Source organism: Homo sapiens, chromosome 2 (genome assembly GCF_000001405.40).
Source record: "Homo sapiens chromosome 2, GRCh38.p14 Primary Assembly".
NCBI classification, from domain to species: Eukaryota; Metazoa; Chordata; class Mammalia; order Primates; family Hominidae; genus Homo; species Homo sapiens.
The window spans coordinates 80,443,710-80,463,925 of record NC_000002.12 but is presented as its reverse complement, the minus strand read 5'-3'; the positions used below and the strand labels follow the sequence as shown (position 1 = coordinate 80,463,925).

At 39.5% G+C, this 20,216-nt stretch overlaps 1 protein-coding gene across 14 annotated transcripts in view, besides 2 other annotated features; it reads right to left on the bottom strand.

The window, feature by feature from the left end:
* The window catches only part of CTNNA2 (catenin alpha 2), a 1,463,404-nt gene that overhangs the window by 184,855 nt on the left and 1,258,333 nt on the right, over window positions 1–20,216 (bottom strand). The gene's annotated exons all lie outside the window — the stretch shown is intronic.
* Window positions 1,311–1,816: an enhancer, noted in NCBI's record as "OCT4-NANOG-H3K27ac hESC enhancer chr2:80689235-80689740 (GRCh37/hg19 assembly coordinates)". NCBI's record gives its function as "activates a minimal SCP1, AML or CMV promoter by ChIP-STARR-seq in naive H9 embryonic stem cells {active_cell/tissue: H9 hESC(naive)}" and the evidence as "EXISTENCE:reporter gene assay evidence [ECO:0000049][PMID:30033119]".
* Window positions 1,817–2,321: an enhancer, noted in NCBI's record as "OCT4-NANOG hESC enhancer chr2:80688730-80689234 (GRCh37/hg19 assembly coordinates)". NCBI's record gives its function as "activates a minimal SCP1, AML or CMV promoter by ChIP-STARR-seq in naive H9 embryonic stem cells {active_cell/tissue: H9 hESC(naive)}" and the evidence as "EXISTENCE:reporter gene assay evidence [ECO:0000049][PMID:30033119]".

The window sequence follows — 20,216 nt, the reverse complement described above, 5'->3', positions numbered from 1 at the left end:
TACAAGTCCCTAAAAGTATGACTCCACGACCATTAGCACTTTGAGACAGTGGGTAAAACAATGAATTCTAGCTCCTCTGCGTACAGCAATGTGCCTTGGGGCAAGCCATTTATCCTTTAGCCAAACTGCCTAGAAAATATATACTAGATAAATGTTTATTTTCTTCCATCTTTCTGAGCTTGGTTTATTGACTGTAAAATAGCAATATGAAGATCTACTTCACAGGACTATTAATGTAATCAAATTCAATAATGTATTGGAAATGCTTCATCACAAGCTTCATAGGGTGGAATCAGAACTCATTCCTCTTGTTACCCCAAATCCTGAGTATCCACCCGTGGAGACTGTTGATTTTGAAAGCAGCCTGAACATGAAAACTCCCAAACATTCTAAGGAAATCCATCCTAATAACTCCACACAGAATGAGAATAAAGAAAAATAAGATTTAACCAGAGCCGAATGATTCTTTCCCTGTGCTCCATAACCCTTCTAAGGATCTGCAATCCCTACCTCAATTAATCTAGGCATTTCAACTACTTGAAAAACTACCAATACATTAAAATGTACAAAGTACTACCTTAATGAACAAAGGAAGTTAGACGTAGTGCTGGCGACTATTAAGGGGGGTGTTCTATTTTTATTTTCCTCTGCTCACATGTCTATGTTACTGGATAAAGAAGTGAAGAAAACAAGGACTTAAAAGGAACAGAAGATAAAACAACAGTTAAAGAACCATGTGAGATGATAAATGGAGCAGGGGATTTGTCAGACAGTATTTAGCAAGCCACAGTATGAAAAGATTTTCAGAAAAAGGTCAGAGATGGAGGCATAAACAGTCAAGTAAGCATCGCATCACAGCGCCAACTCCTAGGGAGTCAGGTAAAAGACGAGAAAGGCTGAGAGGGTTGGAAACAGGAACCATAGAATCTGGAATAATCAGTGTGCCGACTAAGTAGGGAGGAAAAATAGACTAATGATTTCAGAGCAGAGGTTAAACACTGCACTAGAAAATAAGCTATAAAAGATCAACGAGAAGCTAGAGTGGAGAGGGTAGGGATAGGGAATTCATAACAAGGTGGAACTGGGACTCCAAGACAAGAAAGAAACCGAATAGAGAAGACACCGTTGAGGATAACACCCAAAGAGTGCGTAGACTAATTCCTGGATGCTTGCAAACCATGTCCTAGTGTCTTTTCGACCAGGAATGCTGCTCTCAAGATTAATAGTGACTCTTTAGGCTGAGAAGTGATGACCCAGCAGCTCTTTATTCGTCAAAAAAAAAAAAAAAAAAAAAGAAAGAAAGAAAGAAGGAAAGGAAGGGAGAGAAAAATGAGATACATAAGAGAGATAGAAAATTGTACCTAGATGAAATCAGCATAAATGGAAAACCCAAATGTTTAATCCAGTCATGATTATTGCCCAAAATTGAATGAGTAAATGATGCTGCCTACAACAGATATAACTCAAGAAACAGAGGCTTAAAAAAGAATTAAAATGACCAATATCTATACAACCTCAAACTCAATCAGTATACCCTAGATAGAGACTCTATTTGCTGCTTTCAAGTCTTCCCGTATAAAGCAGTATGTTTCCAGGAAAAAAATAAATAAATTTGAAGCCAGAAGTTTCTAAGTTCAAATTTTAGCTTGGCCATATACCATCATCAACAGACTTAGAAAAGCAACTTCAGTAGCCTGAGACTCATTTTCTTCAACAACCAGACAAAATTAACCTGTGCAGAGTCCCACCTCCCGAGGTTGTTATCATAATGCCATGAGATCTTGTTTTTAAAAGTGCCTAGAATACAGCAGGAGTTCAATTAAAAGTGTTCATTCCCTAGACTTCTAAGGCAAGGCCCAAGGCACTGTACATAATCAAAGTAAGTTAACTGACTTTTAAATAACAATGAAAACATCACCAAACCTTTTATTGCCCAGTGAATGATGTCTTGCAAAGCAGATCCCCAGGGGGCTGAGCACAAAGCCCACTCAACCTGCCCTTGCTGACAACTTGCATAGCTGGAGCTCCCCTTCTAGAAATGCTGTAGGAGCCTGGGGCATATATCTTTGATTATCCACAAAAGTGGAAAATATCATTCTTCTGAGGGAGGATATACTTCTGGAAAAAGTCGACATTATTTGGTTCCAAGTCTAGCAATAAGATCTAGCTGAAGTGTGGCCACAAAGCAGTGAGACTGATTTTCTCCTGTGACTCATAATCTAGTTCAAAAGACTTTTTTTTTTTAAGTTTCGGATCCTAGCAAGATAAAAGCACCAGTACATGAACATAACAGTATAAGGACATTTATTGCACCACTGAATGTAGAGACAAAATAATTGCATGTATATTGTCAAACAAACAGAAACATTCAATGACACTAGTTAAGGCATGATAAGGCAGACTTTATTTAGGACCTTTGCAATAGTTATAGGAACCCTAGCAATGGGAATTTGCAGTTGGGGGTCAGTGTGAGCTGGTGGGGAGACGGCTTCATTCTGAATACAGCATGGGCAGCGGCAATTTATAGCTAAGGAGTAGGGAGGTGAGGGAGGTCAGTGGATGAAAAATTACTACGAGGTAACATCAGGGATAATGGGAACTCCAACATAACAGGATTCTTGTAAACAACGGGCCAGGGTGATCAGACATCATGTCAGGCATGGGGGAGGATAAGGAACTTCATCAGACAAGGAGGGTGATCAGATATTGAGGGTGGGTGGTTCTTACTAAACTGACTTAACAGGATTCTTTGTTAAAACTGGATTTTACAAGGAAATGCACAAATGGGAGTAGGAAAAGATTTAGGAGCCTGGCTAAAGTTAGGTAAAGCAAAGAATCTTTGTCAGAATCAGTAGTGGAATGACAGAAAAATTCATGCTGTATCTCTATCATTAAAGATTATGTAGCTATCTAAAAGAAGCGGTTAGAAAGTCTTCTCCCAAATTGTGTTCCTGGAACGGTAGAGTCAACATTGCCTGGGAATGTGTTATAAATGTGATATTGACAAAAAATTATTGGGCTCCACCCCAGATATACTGAATCAGAAACTTGGGGGATGAGATCCAACAATCTGTATTTTGGCAAGTCCTCCAGGTGATTCTGATGCATGCTAAAGTTTGAGAACCATTGAGTTAGAAGGATATCCTCCATTTATCTAGAATGGGAATGTACAAGATATTTTAAATAAGAAAAGCAAGTTGCAAACCAATAGGGAAGACTTACAGTTGAATTAAATTGTGTGCATGTGTGTGACTGTGTGTGTTGTGTAAAATACAAGATGTGGTAGGGTATTTGTAAGATTCATAAAATGAATACAACTAATGACAGCTGGGGTGAGGGTAGATGGACAGGGTGTGATAGGGAGGGAAAGAAGAAGCGGGAGAAAGAGGGAAATATACCTTGCATATAGTACATAAAGGGATAAGTTTACTAACTGCTTCTCCAGCTTTTTCTTAAAGCCTATGTCACATTCTTTTTGAATATCTTACTTTTCTTTGAGTGTTACAGTTTCTTTTTCTTCAGGATTCTTTGTGTTAAGATCTAAAAAGCACTGGAGTATGTGCATAAGAAATGAACAAGATATAGGCATGCTTAATATGTGCTATAATTCTCCAAAGACCATGCAAATGTCTGCTAGCTAAATGACTGTCACTCAAGATTAGGAACAACCTATGTCAGTTTCTACAGTTCCAAGCAAAGAAAGGCTATGGATTGAGAGCAGTTTTCCAGCAGGACCTGTGCACAAAGGCAATTTTTTTTCTTCTACGAACAAAATATAAAGAAGTAAACTATCCTCCTTAATGGGGTCATATCTGACTTATGTATAGAGTCTTAAGAGTTTAAATTTCAGGAGCATTAGTAACTTATTTTCAGAGCCCTGACATTTTCTTAAGTATCTGAGAAGTCAGGGGATTTCCCAAATAAACGCTGGGTAAAGGAAATTATTTTGAGTCTCAGTGCCCCCCACAGGTTTATCTGACCTGCCAGGAAATTGAACACTATGAGAATGCCCCAAGTCTCTGCCAGTCCAGCAGTCTCTCACACACTGGCCCACCTATGCTTACACCAAGCCTACAAAGACCTGAGTACCCTGGCAGGGGAATTGAGTGGCTTTTATGGGAATCCAAACAATGTGGCTGAGGGATGTCGGCACATCATCTCCAAGACAGATTTTGATGGTAGGAAAAGGAGATGATTGTCAGAAGTACAGAATAGCAGGAGGAAAAGGAAGCAAAATCAAGTGTATGTCTGTGTGGGGTGTCCTGGGACAGATTGGTATGTTCCAGGTTAGGAATTGGAGCACTGATCAAGGCAATGAGGGGAGGCTGCCACTTTCAACAGACTCCCTTAACTCTTCATCTTTTGACAAGGCATTTTTTCCCTGGCTTCTGCCTGGGCCCATGTTATCTGTGCAATCACCTTAAGATAAGCAGGATAAGAAAACTGCCCTTTTCTTGCTGAATTCAAAAATGTACATGGTGCCTTTATTATTTCAGATATGAATATCTTATGAATAGCTTTTAACCTCAATGTCAAGGTGAACTGTGGTCCTTCTGGTCTTCTACGTCCTCTCATCAGCACCTCAGCAGGTCAACTTGTATAGTGGTTTTTAGCCTGGAGGCACATTAAAAGCACGTAGGGAGCTTTTCTAATGTGAATGCCAAACTCCTCCCAGACCAATTAAATTCATGGATCACTGAGTAGGAATACCTTCTAAGAAATGCATCCTTAGGTGGTTTCATCATTGTGTAAACATGATAGCGTGTACTTACACAAACCTAGATGATGTATCCTACTACGTGCCTAGGCTATACGGTATAGCCTATTGTTCCTAGGTTATAAACCTGTAAAGCATGTTACTCTATTGAATACTGTAGGCAGTTGTAGCACAATGGTGAGTATTTGTGTATCTAAGCGTATCTAAACATAGAAAAGTTACCAGTAAAAATATGGTATAAAATATTTTTTTAATTGTACATCTGTATAGGGCAGCTTCATTATAATTTTATGGGACCACAATTGTGTACATCTATTCTAGACTGAAATGTCCTTATGTAGCCCATGACTATACATCAAAGTTGTTGGGAGGTAGAAGAGAGGGGGCTGATCATTTATAATTGTTTAAGTCTCTATAAGTTAATAATATAAACCCAGGATAGACAACCACTGAACTAGCTGTTATCTAAGCTGCTAGAGGGAAGATTAGAGCTTTTGGTGTGTGGTTGAACAAGCTGAACTTCAAGGTCCTTTCCAAACAGGAGAAGGGTCAGTGATTTTCAGAAAGCAGTCTGCTAAAAAAATGATTTTTCACAAATAACAGTGGAAAGGATTTTTCAAGGTTAAAGAGAAAGGTGTTTGCAAAATGAATTGGAAAATTGAACTTGCTATCTAGGTATTTCCAACCAGCCAAACACAAATATAAATACGTATTTTGTAGTATGTCAATAGTCTACATATTTTAGGGAATCTTAATTTGTTATTTTTTAACATAAATTTATTTACTTGTCAGGGATCCAGAAAATTAACCATATTATTTGACACACAGAAGCACAGTCTACTTCTTCTTTGAATAACTGAATAAATTAGGTTTTAGTAGTCCACATCTGATTAATACACAATAGGTCATATTAACTACAAAATACATCACTATATGAATAATTGAAACATCCAAGTTTTTTATATAGTCCCTCAGTTCTAACAGAGGTAACTTATCAACTGACCTAAATAGAATTACTCTAAATATTTCTAAAAAAAAATCGAAGGTTTATTTATTTCTTCAAAGACTTCAAAGGAAGTTAGACAAAATGTACAACTTATTTCTATAGCTGCTGTTAGTTAAGTCTCTTGGCACCTACACAAGGATTGAAAAATAGATACTCCTTCTTGCCCTCCTCATCTGCAGCCTAACTTCAGCTCTAGAAGGAAGCAGCAAGGGTGAAGGAAGGCACTAGAGGATAGTCTGTTCGATGAACTAAAATTTCAAGGAAGTCATTTTTCACATGTTCAAAAGTGAATCATCTCTTTCGATCTCCTCTGCAGGAGACAAGGGAGTTGGAAGGGTGTCTGACTTTTAAACAAGAGAAAAAAAACAAAATCTTAGAAAGCAGAAATACTAACTGAGGGAAACAAGGAGGAGGAGCATTAAAATCCCTGAAAGAATAAAATAAATTTTAGAGCATCAGTATATGAAGGTTCATTCTCAAGAGAAAAGAGAATGAAGAGAAATGTGAACCCATCCCTCAATATAGTGTTTACTCTAAATCTACTATGTGCTGAGTCTGAGAAGAGATACAAAGATGAGTTTGGAAAGAATTCTAGGAGCAAATACAATGGATCTTACGAAGCCTAGTAAGGAGTTTGTATATTTTTACATCAGTAATATTAATATTAATAATATAGACAGTGTATTGTATACTTATTATGTGTCAGCATTATACTAAAAAAACTTTCCATGAACATTTTTCTTTCTTTTTTTACTGATACATAATAATTGTACATATTTATGAGGTACAGTATGTTATCTCAATACATGTTATTTCAATATATATAATGTATAACGATCAGTCGGGCACAGTGACTCACGCCTGTAATCTCAGCAGTTTGGGAGGCCAAGGCGGGCAGAAAACCTGAGGTCAGGAGTTTGAAACCAGCCTTGCCAACACGGCGAAATCCCATCTCTACTAAAGATACAAAAATTAACTGGGTGCGGTGGTGGGCACCTGTAATCCCAGCTACTCGGGAGGCTGAGGCAGAAGAATCACTTGAACCCGGGAGGCAGAGGTTGCAGTGAGTCGAGATCACCGCCTGGGTGACAGAGCGAGACTCTGTCCAAAAAAAAACATGTAAAATTAAAAAAAAATGTATAATGATCAAATCAGGGCAATGGGCATATCAATCACCTCAAACAGTTATCATTCTTTCGTGTTGAAAACATTCCAAATACTTTCTTCAAGCTATTTTGAAATATGCAACAAATTATTGTTAACTATAGTCACCCCACTGTGCTATCAAGCGCTAGAACTTATTCCTTCTACCTAACTGTATTTTTGTACCTGTTAACCAACCTCTCTTTATTCCCTGCTTCCTCCAATCTTCCCTGCCTCTGATAACCACCTTCTACTCGACCTCCATGTGCATGTACCTTTTCTCATCTAATTCCCTCAGGTGCCCAATAAGGTATCTATTATGCTTCCCATTTTATAGCTAAGGAAACTGAAACTCGAAGTGTATAAGTACCTGTCTAAGGCCATGTAGCTAAAATGCATTGCCTGGGTTTTCAATGTGGGCCTAACTTGCACGAAGCCTTGAGCCCTTAAACACTAACTGCATTTAATTAGTTGTAAAACACTGAGAAACCCAAAGACAATTGTATGGTGGTGACATAATCTTTGAGAACTCATACAAGCTACATTCCAGTTGAATGTCATGCAAAGTGGCCTTGCTCTGGGATCTCACTATCCCGCCTGCTCCCTCCGCGTCCAATAGCACCCCAGTCCACCCAAATGTACTGAGACTACATCAGTTGCAGTATTGCTGGTGATTCCTGGAATGGCAGCAGGGCTGCACAACACACAGAAGCCACAGCAATACCAGATCATCCAAAGTGCAGGGGATACCAATGTGCAGGGGATATTAAAGTGGCCACACAGAAAGAAGAGGCTTCCAAGAAAAGCAAGTAACTTTTTATTACACATAGGAGCATTGGTCTACAACCCGGGTACTCCATGTCACCAATAGCTCAGGTGTCCAGCTTCTGGCTTAGTAATAGAGACCAGTAACTGAAGGAGATGCATTCAGCACATCCCACATCCGGCTCCAGGCATTAGGAGCCATATCTTCAACTCAAAATCCTCACAGACTTGAGTAAAATTATGGTACAAATAAGGAAAGTAACTTCTCACTGGCAAGCATTGAACAGTAAAAGGGACATTTTGTTTTAGAGCCATAGTGTGACTAAGTTTAGTTCCAAACTTCTCTTTCCAGCCATGTGACCTTCCTCAGGTGACATAACCACTCTGTGTCTCAGGTAATCACAGGCTTGTTTCGAAGATTAAATGGATCAGTGCACTGAGAACAAAATTATGCTCATAATATGCATCCAGACACACCATTCCTCCTCCCCTCATCTGACATTCTGCTGGTAGAGACTCCCTGCTCAATGGTAAGCAATGGCACTGGCCTTCTCTTAGAATCTCCTTTTAAAACTCAAAGGTCGCACGGACAGCACACATTAGTCACCACCATCTTGGTGTGAATTAATTTATCATATTATTTTCTTCACTTTAATGAGGAGAGGATTTGTGAGAGTACACTCCTCTCCAGAAAGATGTGGAAGAGGAATGAAGGTACAAAAGATAAGGTGATGAAGGCATGAAACACAAATTTCCACTAACTCGCAACTTCACGGAGACCTAATGCCGTGGAGACCCTAATGTCAGTCTCACATTCCTCTCCTCTACTCATGCCCACAAAAAAGAAACAAAAAGAATCTTGCTAAATCTGCTTCTGTTTCCCTCACTTTGGCTCCACAAAGTCCTGCCTTCTCAACCCTCCTGATAGAGAGATGACCTTTATACAAGCCCATTCAACCTGGCAATTACTAGCTGGGTAACAGTTTCTCTTTATGTCTTTCTTCCTGCCTCTGCCCAGTGGCTCTACGCCAGACTTATGTGACAAGCTTTCTTTCTTGACATAGGCCTACTGACTATATCATGGCACTTTAAAAATTTCATTTATAGGTACAAAAAGGCTGCTTCATAAACCCCTGACACCTCATTACCCCAACCTAACCATTTGCCATTTGTTTGCCAGCCCTGACAGTCAGTAAGCTGAAACAGGGCGATCACTAATCTGGAAGAAAGGGACTTGTCTTTTGGTCCAAGTTCTGCTGTCATGAGGGATGCAGCCTCCGCATATCATCTCCCTTTTCAGAGCCTCTGGCTCCTCAATTGTGAAAAGAAGGGACTGAGCTCTGATTCTCTGATATGATTTCACAGCTTCCTTGTTTTCCTTCTGACCTTTGGCTCTGGGCCTTCCCCGGGCTAGCCCATCATCAGAGAGGGAAGCACTGACTGCCCGCCTGCCAATCTGTGCTCAGGCCAAAGATTCTGCTGGGAGGCTGACAATGATCAAATGCCCAGGGCTGGCCCTGTGCCATATGTCAGCTCAACACGCTGTCTGAGAGGCTGCAGATGGAGACCTGGGGAGACCAAGTGTGCCGCATGCTGCCCGGCAGAACTAATAAGCAAGACCCAGTGCCCAGGGTACTTGCCCTCCGTCAGCCTCACTGAGTTCTGCTCATCCATCTCCTTATCTCCCTGGCAGAACCTAAGAATTCAATCTCTGAGCTGAATAGAGCTTTTTAAAAATCTAACATTTGAACACGTTCAAGGACAAGGGATTCATGAATAGTAGTATTAAATGGCTGATTATCACCAACAGCCAGGCACATATTGTCTCTTTGGGGATGGACTACAGTTTTCCCTGTTCTACACATGGGGAAGGTACAGAGCAGTTTGCGAAGTGCTAAGTCCCACCATGACAGTCTGAACCCAGAACTCCCGAGGTGAACTCTGCATCGTACTGCTTCCAGGGACCTTCCATAACAGCATATTTTCCCTTTAAAGGAAAGCTCTTCCTGCAATGAGACAAAAATCTATCTTTCTATAGTGTTCCTCTCAGCCCCTCCTTTTCTCTTATTTGATCCTTTCCAGACATAGATAAAGATGCTCAATACAATCAATTGTAATACTTTAAGATAAAGAATAATTAGAGCAGATAAGAGTAAACTATGTCGCTTTGCCTTTGTTCTCAGACAGCCTCCCTTGATAGTTGGAATGGGGCTCGAAATGTTTTTCTTTCTCCCTCTTTGCCCTTTCTTTTATTCTTTTCTTTTTTTTTCTTTTTCTCAAGCATCATGTTAATATAAGCCAGAGCTTTGACAATTGTGCAGCTAATTTCTAAATGATTGAAATAATTTATTGTTATTTCAGTCAAGGAGAGTTCCTACAGCAGCTAGGACAGCTGGTAATGGTACCCATAGAATGGGTATTTATTCATCACACAAAAAGCTTGACATTCAGTGGAAATTACCATCAAGAAAAACACGGGGGTGGAGAATAGAAACGTATCTTTTGATTTACAGTCAGGTCAAAGGACAAAATCATTCTGATTGAAACTACATTGTGTTATATAACCCTGTCTGTCCTCACATTCTCCTATGCAACTTTGTTTTGTGAGACCTTGTGATCCCCCGCAAACAGATATATGTTCTGTAGTGTTTCCTATTTAAGCACGTTGCTAGCTCAATTATGGTTTCTCTCTTCTGTCTTGTTTTTCTGTTTTATTTTGTTTGTTTTTTTAACAGCTTTCGTGGAGCTAAACAGAATTACGTGAGCGAATCACACACATGGAGAAATCACTAACCATGAAGCTGTTGCTAAAGCCAGCAGAGAATATCCATTTTGAATGCACCATATTAGAGTCTATCCACCCACTTGCTTCCATAGTGAAGTTCAGTACCAGTAACACAAACAGATGTGCTGTTCTTAGACTGACACTCTTAACACATTACTTTTCCATTGTGTTCTTCCAGGGTTAGGGTGGGGGTGGGTGCTTAGTCAGCCCCTATCCCTACCAACCTTGGCCATGCCCAACCATGGCCAGTAATGACCAGTACTCAGCCTGCTCAACCTTGCACAGACCCTGAGCAAGGCAAAGCTAGATGACGGTGTGTTAGGAGATTTGATTTCACCAGTGTTGAAATGGAAATCCACGTGATGCTCCCATGCTTGCTCTATGCTTGGATTTAGCTCCCAAAGTACCCTCAGGAACATCAGGTAGCAGCCCCTTAACAAATTCCCACTGGGTGTGGCCAGTCTGTCTCTTTGGCCTTCAAAGAGGTCCCAGGCTGTCAGGTTCAACCCCAGCTATACCTGGCCTAGAAGGCACCCCAGCCTTTCATCCTACTCTCTCCCACCATAACTTGGCCAACTAACTCTGAAATTTTTGCCTCATTCCATCAGATACCTTTCCAAAAACCTGGGAGGTCTTGCTGTATCCCAAGAATAAATCTCCTTGATCTAAATGATAGATCTTATCATACTGCAGGGATACCAGCTAACCAAGGTTCATTAATTTCAGCATCCCTTCTATCTCAAATTGAATCTTCTCTAGTCAAAGCTGATAGTTTGAATATTTCACCCTTTCCTAGATTTCTTTTTATCTAAGCTGGTTTTCCCCAACCCAACCTGCAAGAAGCCCCCAATGCCACCAGCATCCTTTCTTCTCCCTTGTAAGCTCCATGCATTTGTGAGGATGCCAGCCAGCATCAGGGGCTTGCCATATGGCTCAGAATCTGGTCAGTTTGTCAGCGGCGTTAGAACACCGACAGCTGCCCAGAGGACCTCTCCCATTTTGGCAATCAGCCCCATGAGACCTGACTGATTTAGGAAACAGATGGAATTTTATGGACCATTGGGTTAAAAACTATTGGGCACACAGCCGACTAGAATACAGCCACGTGTCTGTAAATGCATCAGAAGCAGGGATCACATCTGTGTTACTCATCCATGTTTATGGTACCTAGCACAATGCCTGTCAAATAGGAGACACAAAGAATATTTGTTGATTGAATAAATGGATGGATGAACTGAGATCCACAGTATATCACAACAGCTGTAAACAGGCTCTGAAGTTAAATAAACCTAGCTGTGAATCCTGATTGCATTATGTACTAGGTTCATGACCACAGGTAAGAAATGTAACAGGTTCAGCTGCCTCATCTGTAAAATGAAAATAATAGTATTTATAAATATCTTGTGGTATGGTTGCTAGGTTCTTGGTATAGTGCCAGGGACAAAAGAACCAAATATAGCTTAAATATTGTTATAATTAGTCATCTATTTAATATGCTTTGATATATAACTAGCCTCATGTTCTGGATTTAGGGATTTTTTTCTATGTCCAAATTCTATTTTTGCCCTCCTCTTTATGCTTATCTTAAACCTATTCTAGTATATGCTGATTTAAATATATGTAAAAATCTTTTTTTTCCGATAAAAAATAAATGTTGGACTGAGAAACTGACATCAGCATGAAGGAATCTGTAATTCTTGAATGTTGGATTGTAATAACTTCTGATTTTGGCTATATTTTCCTTAATTCCCAAATAAGACTCAAACATTTCCTCATCCCCCCAAAATTAAATAAAATATTTTACTCAAATCATATTTGAATTATTGCCTGATCTAAGAGAACAAATCTAAATTAAAGGGTTGACCCATATATTACATATCAAGTCCTGATGCAGTGATTCTCACAACTGTCTCTTGACATGAAGCTAGGTCTAGTCCAATGAAAACATGGAAGCATCTGCTATAGGATGTGCACATGAGGCCAGGGGTCAGTGTATTAGTCTGCTCTCACACTGCTATAAAGAACTCCTTGAGATTAGGTAATTTATAAAGGTTTAATTGACTTACAGTTCCACAGGGCTGGGGAGGCCTCAGGAAACTTACCATCATGGCAGAAGGGGAAACAAATATGCCCTTCTTCACATGGTGGCAAAAAGGAGAAGTGCCAAGCAAAGGGGGAAAAGCTCCTTATAAAACCATCAGATCTCATGAAAACTCACTCACTATCATGAGAATGGCATGAGGGTAACTGCCCTCATGATTCAATAACCTCCCAGTGGGTCCTTCCCAGGAGACATGGGGATTATGGGAAATACAATTCAAAATGAGATTTGGGTGGGGACACAGCCAAACCGTATCAGTCAGTATTATAAGACATGACTCTTAATCACCTACACACCGTGGCACAAAATCACATGGGAGGGGGAGAAGGCCACACAAAGGATAATGCACCAGATATTTTCAGAGAAAGGTAAGTGTATGTATATATTTCTTCCAAAATGAGACAGGGAAAAGTACTTTTTTTTTTTAAACAATGACACCTTAATGGTCAGGAGGTTATTAATGAAGACTTGGTTAAGACAAACAGACAAAAAGACTATGAAATAGAAATAGAATTGTTCCTCTCAAGTTCCACTGCTGAAAATTACCATCCAACCCTGTGATTCTATTGATTTGCCTGCACTATATCAAATTTTAATCACCATAAACCATAGACTAATACAGTTCTGCCATCAACAAGTGCTCTTAGAAGAAGACTTTGATTACTTTGGACACCTCTGAAAATCTTTTAAGACTGTCTAGCTTGGAAACTGGAGATTCAAGGAAGCATCTGAATGTCCCTCCTTTGGTTTTGTAAAAAAGGAGGTATCATATTCTGCTTTTTTAAAGTTAGGACTTTCAGAAGAGACACTAACACAAGAAAAAAGATAGACTTGGAGGGGTAAGGTAAGCAACTCCAGACAAGGGTAATTACTACAAGAATTCCTTGAGAAGAAATGACAAATCCACTTTTGTTCCCTGGGTTAAATTACAACAGGTTAACTTTATGCTCTCAGCACATCTTTGTCCTTTAGAAGATGTTCTCTGGATGTTCCCAAAACACAAAGCCTAACCAGATAAAACCAGCATGTTCTAAACTGGCTGAACAACCATACTAGTTGTTCAAGATGTAATAAATGGTCCTTTAAAAAGGAAAAAAAAAAAGCTATTATGGTTACAACAAGGAAATTTGCATACTTTGTCTCATACAGGGATTTACAATGCCCATAAGCTTATTGTAGACCCAGGATACTCCTATAATTATGAAAAATGTTTCTTTAATTTGACTTAATCCAGAGTTTTCTATGGAATATCTATTAACATCTTAAGAACTAGTGTTCTGTAAATCAAGGTTTGTGACATGTTGGGTTAAATATTATTGTTTCTGTGACTAATTTCTTTGGACATTCCTAACATCATAGCTTTGCATTAAGAGAAGAGGAGATATGTATAAACCAATGCACACCTTGAATAATCAATTTATTCTTCAAATTTTCCAGGAAATTCAACCACAATCACGTTATTTCACAGATCATGTCAAGAATATAGTCAACTCTCATTTCTCATTCTACTGTGTAGAACAACAGTAAATACTTTAAAAAGCATAATTTACCACTTGCAGACCCAGATTAAACTGACACCCTTGTACTTGGCTACACACCAAGCACATAGTGTGAGCTACAGAAAGGCACATGGCCCCCAGAACCTAGTGACCCTGGATTTTGTATTTATAGTTCTGTCACTGATTAGTTCTGTGTTAAGCTTTCTGAAACTCACATCCTTATTGATCACTGGATAATTCCACAGCCATTCTAATGTATGGAGTTCTAAGAAACTACAAGTTTTGAATTCAAAGGTACTAAGTTGGCTTAAAATCTTAAATGTTCCTGCCTTACAGAACATGTAGTCAGAGGCTCTGTTTTAACATGTACCAAGAGGAGGATCCATTAAAAATCATTTTAAGTATAGAAAGTTATTTGAAAACAGAGAAGGAGACACAAGGAAAGCCAGAGGCAACCCTAGCTATATTACAGGTGGTTTTTGGTTTGTTCTTTCTAACTTATCTACATTTTCTAATGTTTTTGCAATGAACAGATATTACTGCTACAATAACAAAATAGACCAAGAAGTGTATTTTATTTAGTGTATTTATTTATTTATTTATTTATTTATTTATTTATTTAATTTTAGAGACCAGGGTCTTGCTCTGTCATCCAGGCTGGAGTGCAGTGGCATGATTGATCATAGCTCACTACAACCTCAAACTCTTGGGCTCAACTGATCCTCCTGCCTCGGCCTCTCAGAGTCCTAGGATTACAGGCCTAAACCACTGCACCTGGCCTATTTTTGCTTCTTGGTCTTCTGATATCTTAAGCAGGCTGCTACTGATTGTGGGTAGCTAATCAAACATTTCAGACTACGTGTACAAACCCATATCATCAATGTCGGGATACATAGGACTATGCCTTAGAAAGCATGACCCCTAGCATCAGCTCTACAGGTAGCTAACCAAATATATGGCAGAAATTTGAGTGTGAATGCCTTAAGAATTGCCTTTCAAATTAATGGAGGAAAAGATAGAGAAAAAGGAGGAAAGGAAGGAGAGCTGGGGAAATGAAGGCAATATCGCTGCCCTGTCAAGCCACCATTTCACCATTATTATTTAGGTTCCAGGTTTTCTGAAGACCCTGCTAACATACAGGCTCCTGGGATACATGATATTTTATCAGCTCCTTGCCTACTAAGAGCATAACCCTGTAAAAAATCAGTCCTAAGATATTCAGGGTATAAATAAATAAATAAATGCTAACAAGAAAGGAGACTTATGCAAATAGTGCAGCTGGTGTTCTGAGCCCTGGCTGTACATTAGTATCACCTGGAGGACTTCAAATTAGTGACACCCAGGCCCCAGCCCAGACTGAATGAGCATCTCTAGGGGTGAGACCCAGGCTTGGAGTTTTTGAAGTTCCTCAGGTAATGCTAATGTGTAGTCAGGATTCAGAAACACACAGGCTAGGCGAAACAAAGGAATCAAAGTAAATCCTACTGACTTTTCAATTTTGCTGAATGCTCCTCAGAAACAAAAACAGTTTAATTTTTTTGAACTATTTGAAGATTTTGAGATTGTCGCTAAGAGTGAAACGGAGAACATATTAAATTCACCCTTATTGCTAAGCATCACCCTAAAATACCCACTCCTCCCTTGCTTAGTAAATCCAGGCTGCTGAATGAAATGGTTGTCTTTCTTTAGTAAGTGAAGACAATCTGGGATTTCACAAAGGATCTGAGGACAAAGATGGAGAAGGCGTCAGTGATTGGGCCAAATTAGAAAAGAGCCCAGGGCCTTCCTGGAAAGGTGTTATTAAAGCAAGAATCTGATACCAGTTACTTTGTTGTAATTGGACTCCTTCCAGAACTAAGTGCAGTAATAAAGGCTCTGATTTGTTGAGTTTAGTTATCGGAGACTTTACCACAAATATTCGGGAGAACATTCTATTGTTACATTGCTATCTGTCTAGTTCTTCTTTCAAAAAGGTAAGGATGAAAAGATTAGTTTCACCCTGGCCCTCTCCTTGGAAGAATGAGCAAGCTTCTGCGTTCTTTCTCAGCCATACCTCATCTTCATCCCTAAATATGCCCTCCACCCTCCCACCTTCCACATAAGTTAACAGCACATTTGGATTTCTAAGGGTGAACTAAAGAAAATTCCCACCCATGTGTTTGTTTGAAAGGTTGGGTACATCAAGGGATTATTAAACGGAAGTTATCCCAGCGTGGGAGAAGGATGAAGGGAAGGGCCTGACTGGGGAAGAACAGTGGGATTTCCCAAGATAAGAGGAAGGAAAGGAGGAATAATTCCACTAGGAGCTTTTCCCCCACTAGGCTTAATAAACATTCTCCTCTTGCAGCAGGAAGTATCAGAGCATCTGTGCATACAGGACATTCTGTTATAACCTATGCACAATTTTGTATGAATGGAGTGGCTGCTCACACACAGGCCTAGAGTAAGAGAAATAACACAACAACCCCATACCAAGAAGCTTGCTTCTAGACTTCCATAAGACGCCAGATCTTTTGGAAAGTGGCCAGCTATAATTATATACCTTATAAATATAAAAACAAGTGATATTCTTGCTCCTGAGTTTCATGGACCAAATGTACGCCCATTACACATATTACCCAAAAGATTTGCAATGGTAAAAGTAATAGATTGAAGGCATTGGAAAAAAATGTACTACAGCAGAAAAACTACATCAGAGAATCTCTAGCTCTTGCAGAAGAAAATCTGGACTACTAATCATTCCCTTCTAAAATATTCCACTATGTTACAATAAAAATGACACCAAGCACAGTGATAAGATCACCATTTAACTGAAGTAACACTTAAGTTCTACCTATTTTTGGCAATGTCTTTGATTTTGATAGTGAACATATTCATGGTGGTCATAATTCTCATCAAATTTATGGGGAAAAAAGCTGGAGAGTTTGGAGTGCACGTTAAGAAATGTTGGTGCAATCAGAATACATTTGCCTTCTTTTTTTAACAAGCAAAATCCATCTTTTTCCTCAAAAAAACCCTAAGGAGAAAATTATTTTCTGCTGAAAAAATTTTATTTTCACCAAAAAATAGGAATAAAGATGAAATGAAAATTTATACTGACAGGCCTTTAGTTTTCTACACTACTAGATTTTTTCCTTAATAGGAGTCTGTACTGCTTTAAGAATTTCCAAAAATTAATTTTCTCAAGTTCACAACCCAACTTGTTGAAACGTCCTGTTGAAAAGGGTTTTAAGTCTGGGTGACATCCTTTCTGAAGTGTCTTCTTCCTCCCTTTTTAAAAAAGCCTTACATGATTTTTTTTTCCAGAACACAATTTGGAAAGCTTCCAAGGATATCAAAGAAAACTAGAAGCTAAAGAGAATGCTTAAGTATCAAATATGAAAACAAGGAATTCATGCGATGTTTTGTAATCACCTCTATGTGGGATATTCAGTGGAGAACAGACTTAAAAGATTATATTCTAGCATATAGTCTATCACTTGAATAGATCAATGTAATAAGCAGGTCGAGTGTGCACATAACACAATCTATTTTCTTCAAGATAGTGTGTTTCTATGTGTGGTATCTGAGTTGGTTGCATCATACTCATCTGGATAGCTTTATAAACATGCAAGCCTAAACCTTACCTGGGGCATAATGAATTAGTCTCTCTTGAGTGGAGGAAGCTGGGAACATGCATTCTACAAACTTCCCAAGTCACTCATAGGAGCTCTGGAGTCAGAAAAATCCTGTGCTAAGTGCATTAAGAATTCTTAACAGAGTCAAGAATGCCCTTACAAGGCTGCTATGGCAACAGTCCACACTTATTTTTAATTAACCTTTGCCTCTACCACCATACATTTATTGAACACATTATGCAGGAACAATTACCAGAGTCTTGCCATGTATCCAGTCATACATAATGCCAATGTATGAGGCAGGCACTGACAATACTCCCCATTTTACAGGTAAGGAAGCCCAGGCATAGAAATGCTGAGTGATTCACCCAATGCTACACATCCTATAAGAGACGAAGCCAGGCTTTGAAACTAGGGCACCTGATCTTGACGGCTACATGCTTAGCCAGCTCACTTCATAATCCCAAGTAAATAAAAAATAAAGGATTAAATCCACAATTATTTGTTCCCAAGGCCACTGTCTTTCTACTATGCATGTAAGGTCAAGGTTGACACTGACTATAGCAACAATGTCAGTGCTTCTCAAAGTAGGGGTCCCTAGACTGTGTCAGAATCACCAGAGTTAGGAGCTTGTTAAAAATCAAATTTGTTGGTTCTAATGCAGACCACTACACCAAGTTTTTGGTGGACAGAAGACTAAATATCTGCATTTTACTATGTTCCCCTTGGTGACTCTTATACACAGGAAAGTTTGAGAACCATATTAGGCAAACATAAATTTAAAGCAGCAATATTAAGCTTGCAAATAACGGGGCCGAGCACAGTGGCACACACCTGTAATGTCAGCATTTTGAGGGAATAAGGTGGTGGATCACTTGAGCTCAGGAGTTAGAGACCAGCCTGGACAACACGGAAAAACCCCATCACTACAAAAAATACAAAACTTAGCCAGGCATGGTGGTGCACACCTAGAGTCCCAGCCACTCGGGAGGCTGAGGTGGGAAAATCGCTTGAGCCTGGGAGGTCGAGGCTGCAGTGAGCTATGATTGGGCCACTGCACTCCAGCCCGGATGACAGGACAGCACTCTGTCTCAAAAAAATAAATAAATAAATAAAAATTAAAAACAAACAAACAAACAAAAAAACACAAAGAGACAAACATAAAACCTAAACTTGCAGATAATGAGGTTCATGGCCTAAATTAGAATTAAGACAAGGTTAAGACAGTGGTTCCCAAGTGATCTTCTCAAATTGTGAACTTAAGAGAACTTGAGGTGATTTATCCCCAGGGGCACTGGGCAACGTGTGGATATATTTTTGGTTGTCATAACTGGGTGGATGCTACTGGTATCTAGTGAGGAGAGGCCAGGGATGCTGCTAAACAGCTTAGCCTGCTTGGGCTGCCATAACAAGTGTCATACTACAGTCTGGGTGGCTTAAACAACAGAACTTTATTTTCTCCCAGTTCTAGAGGCTGGAGGTCCAGGGTGCAAGCATGGTTGGGTTCTGGTGAGGGTCCTCTCAATCATTTCCATGGCAGTCTTCTTGCTATGTCCTCACAAGGTAGAGAGAAAATAAACTCTCTCCTGTCTCTTCCTATAAGGACGCTAATCACATCATAGGTGCCCCACCCTCATGACCTCATCTAAACCTTATTATCTCCCAAAGGCTCTATCTCCATGTATGATCATGCTGGGGGCTAAAACTTCAACATATGAATTAGATGGGAGCGGGGTACAATTCAGCCCTATCAACATCCCACAATTCATAGGACAGTCCCCAGGAGAAAGGGTTATCTGGCCTAAAATGTCAATGGTGCTGATATTGAGAAACTGCAGATTAAGGTATTAGGAAGGAAAACAGTCCTCTCTCCAACCTTTCCTCAGTAGCAGCCTCCTCTTGGTAGGGATAATTTTTTATATTGTCTTCCCTACCTATCATTCCCACCATTGTTCTAATATTTATGCCTAGCAGAAGTAGTCTCCTTTCATATAAACAAATTCTACTGGTTCTTCATGGCCTAATTAATACTTCTAAAAGCCTCTTGTGAATGCAGTGCTCCCATCCTTATTGCCCTTGATCTAAAATTCAGTTTTACTAGAAGATTGGATGACGTGGAATCCAAAAATTTAGAGCTGAACTCAGAGCCCATTTGATCTATCCCAATATTTTCTCACAGGGAAAACTGACATTCAGAGAGGCTATGGGAGAGTAGAAAGTGCACAGGATTTTGACTCAGATCAGAGTTTGAACTAAGCTTTGTCTCTTACCAAATAGCAGACCTTACAAAATTTTAACCTATTCATGTCATGATTTTAACCTATTCATGTCTCCCTAACCCACTTTACAAGGCATTAGTGGGGATGTATAAAAATGCATATGTGATGTGCCCCATTTGGTCTCTAGGGCACAGGAAATATATAACACAAGTCTGGTCTCTTTTCTGTCCCAGAGATTTTCAAAGGCTTGTCTGAAATATTAAATGAATGATATCTCATACTTAATGTGTCGTAAATATAATGCTAGCCAAGTTTTAACTTTAAGCTCTTGACAAGCGTTTGAGTTGGGCACTATTATTAACTT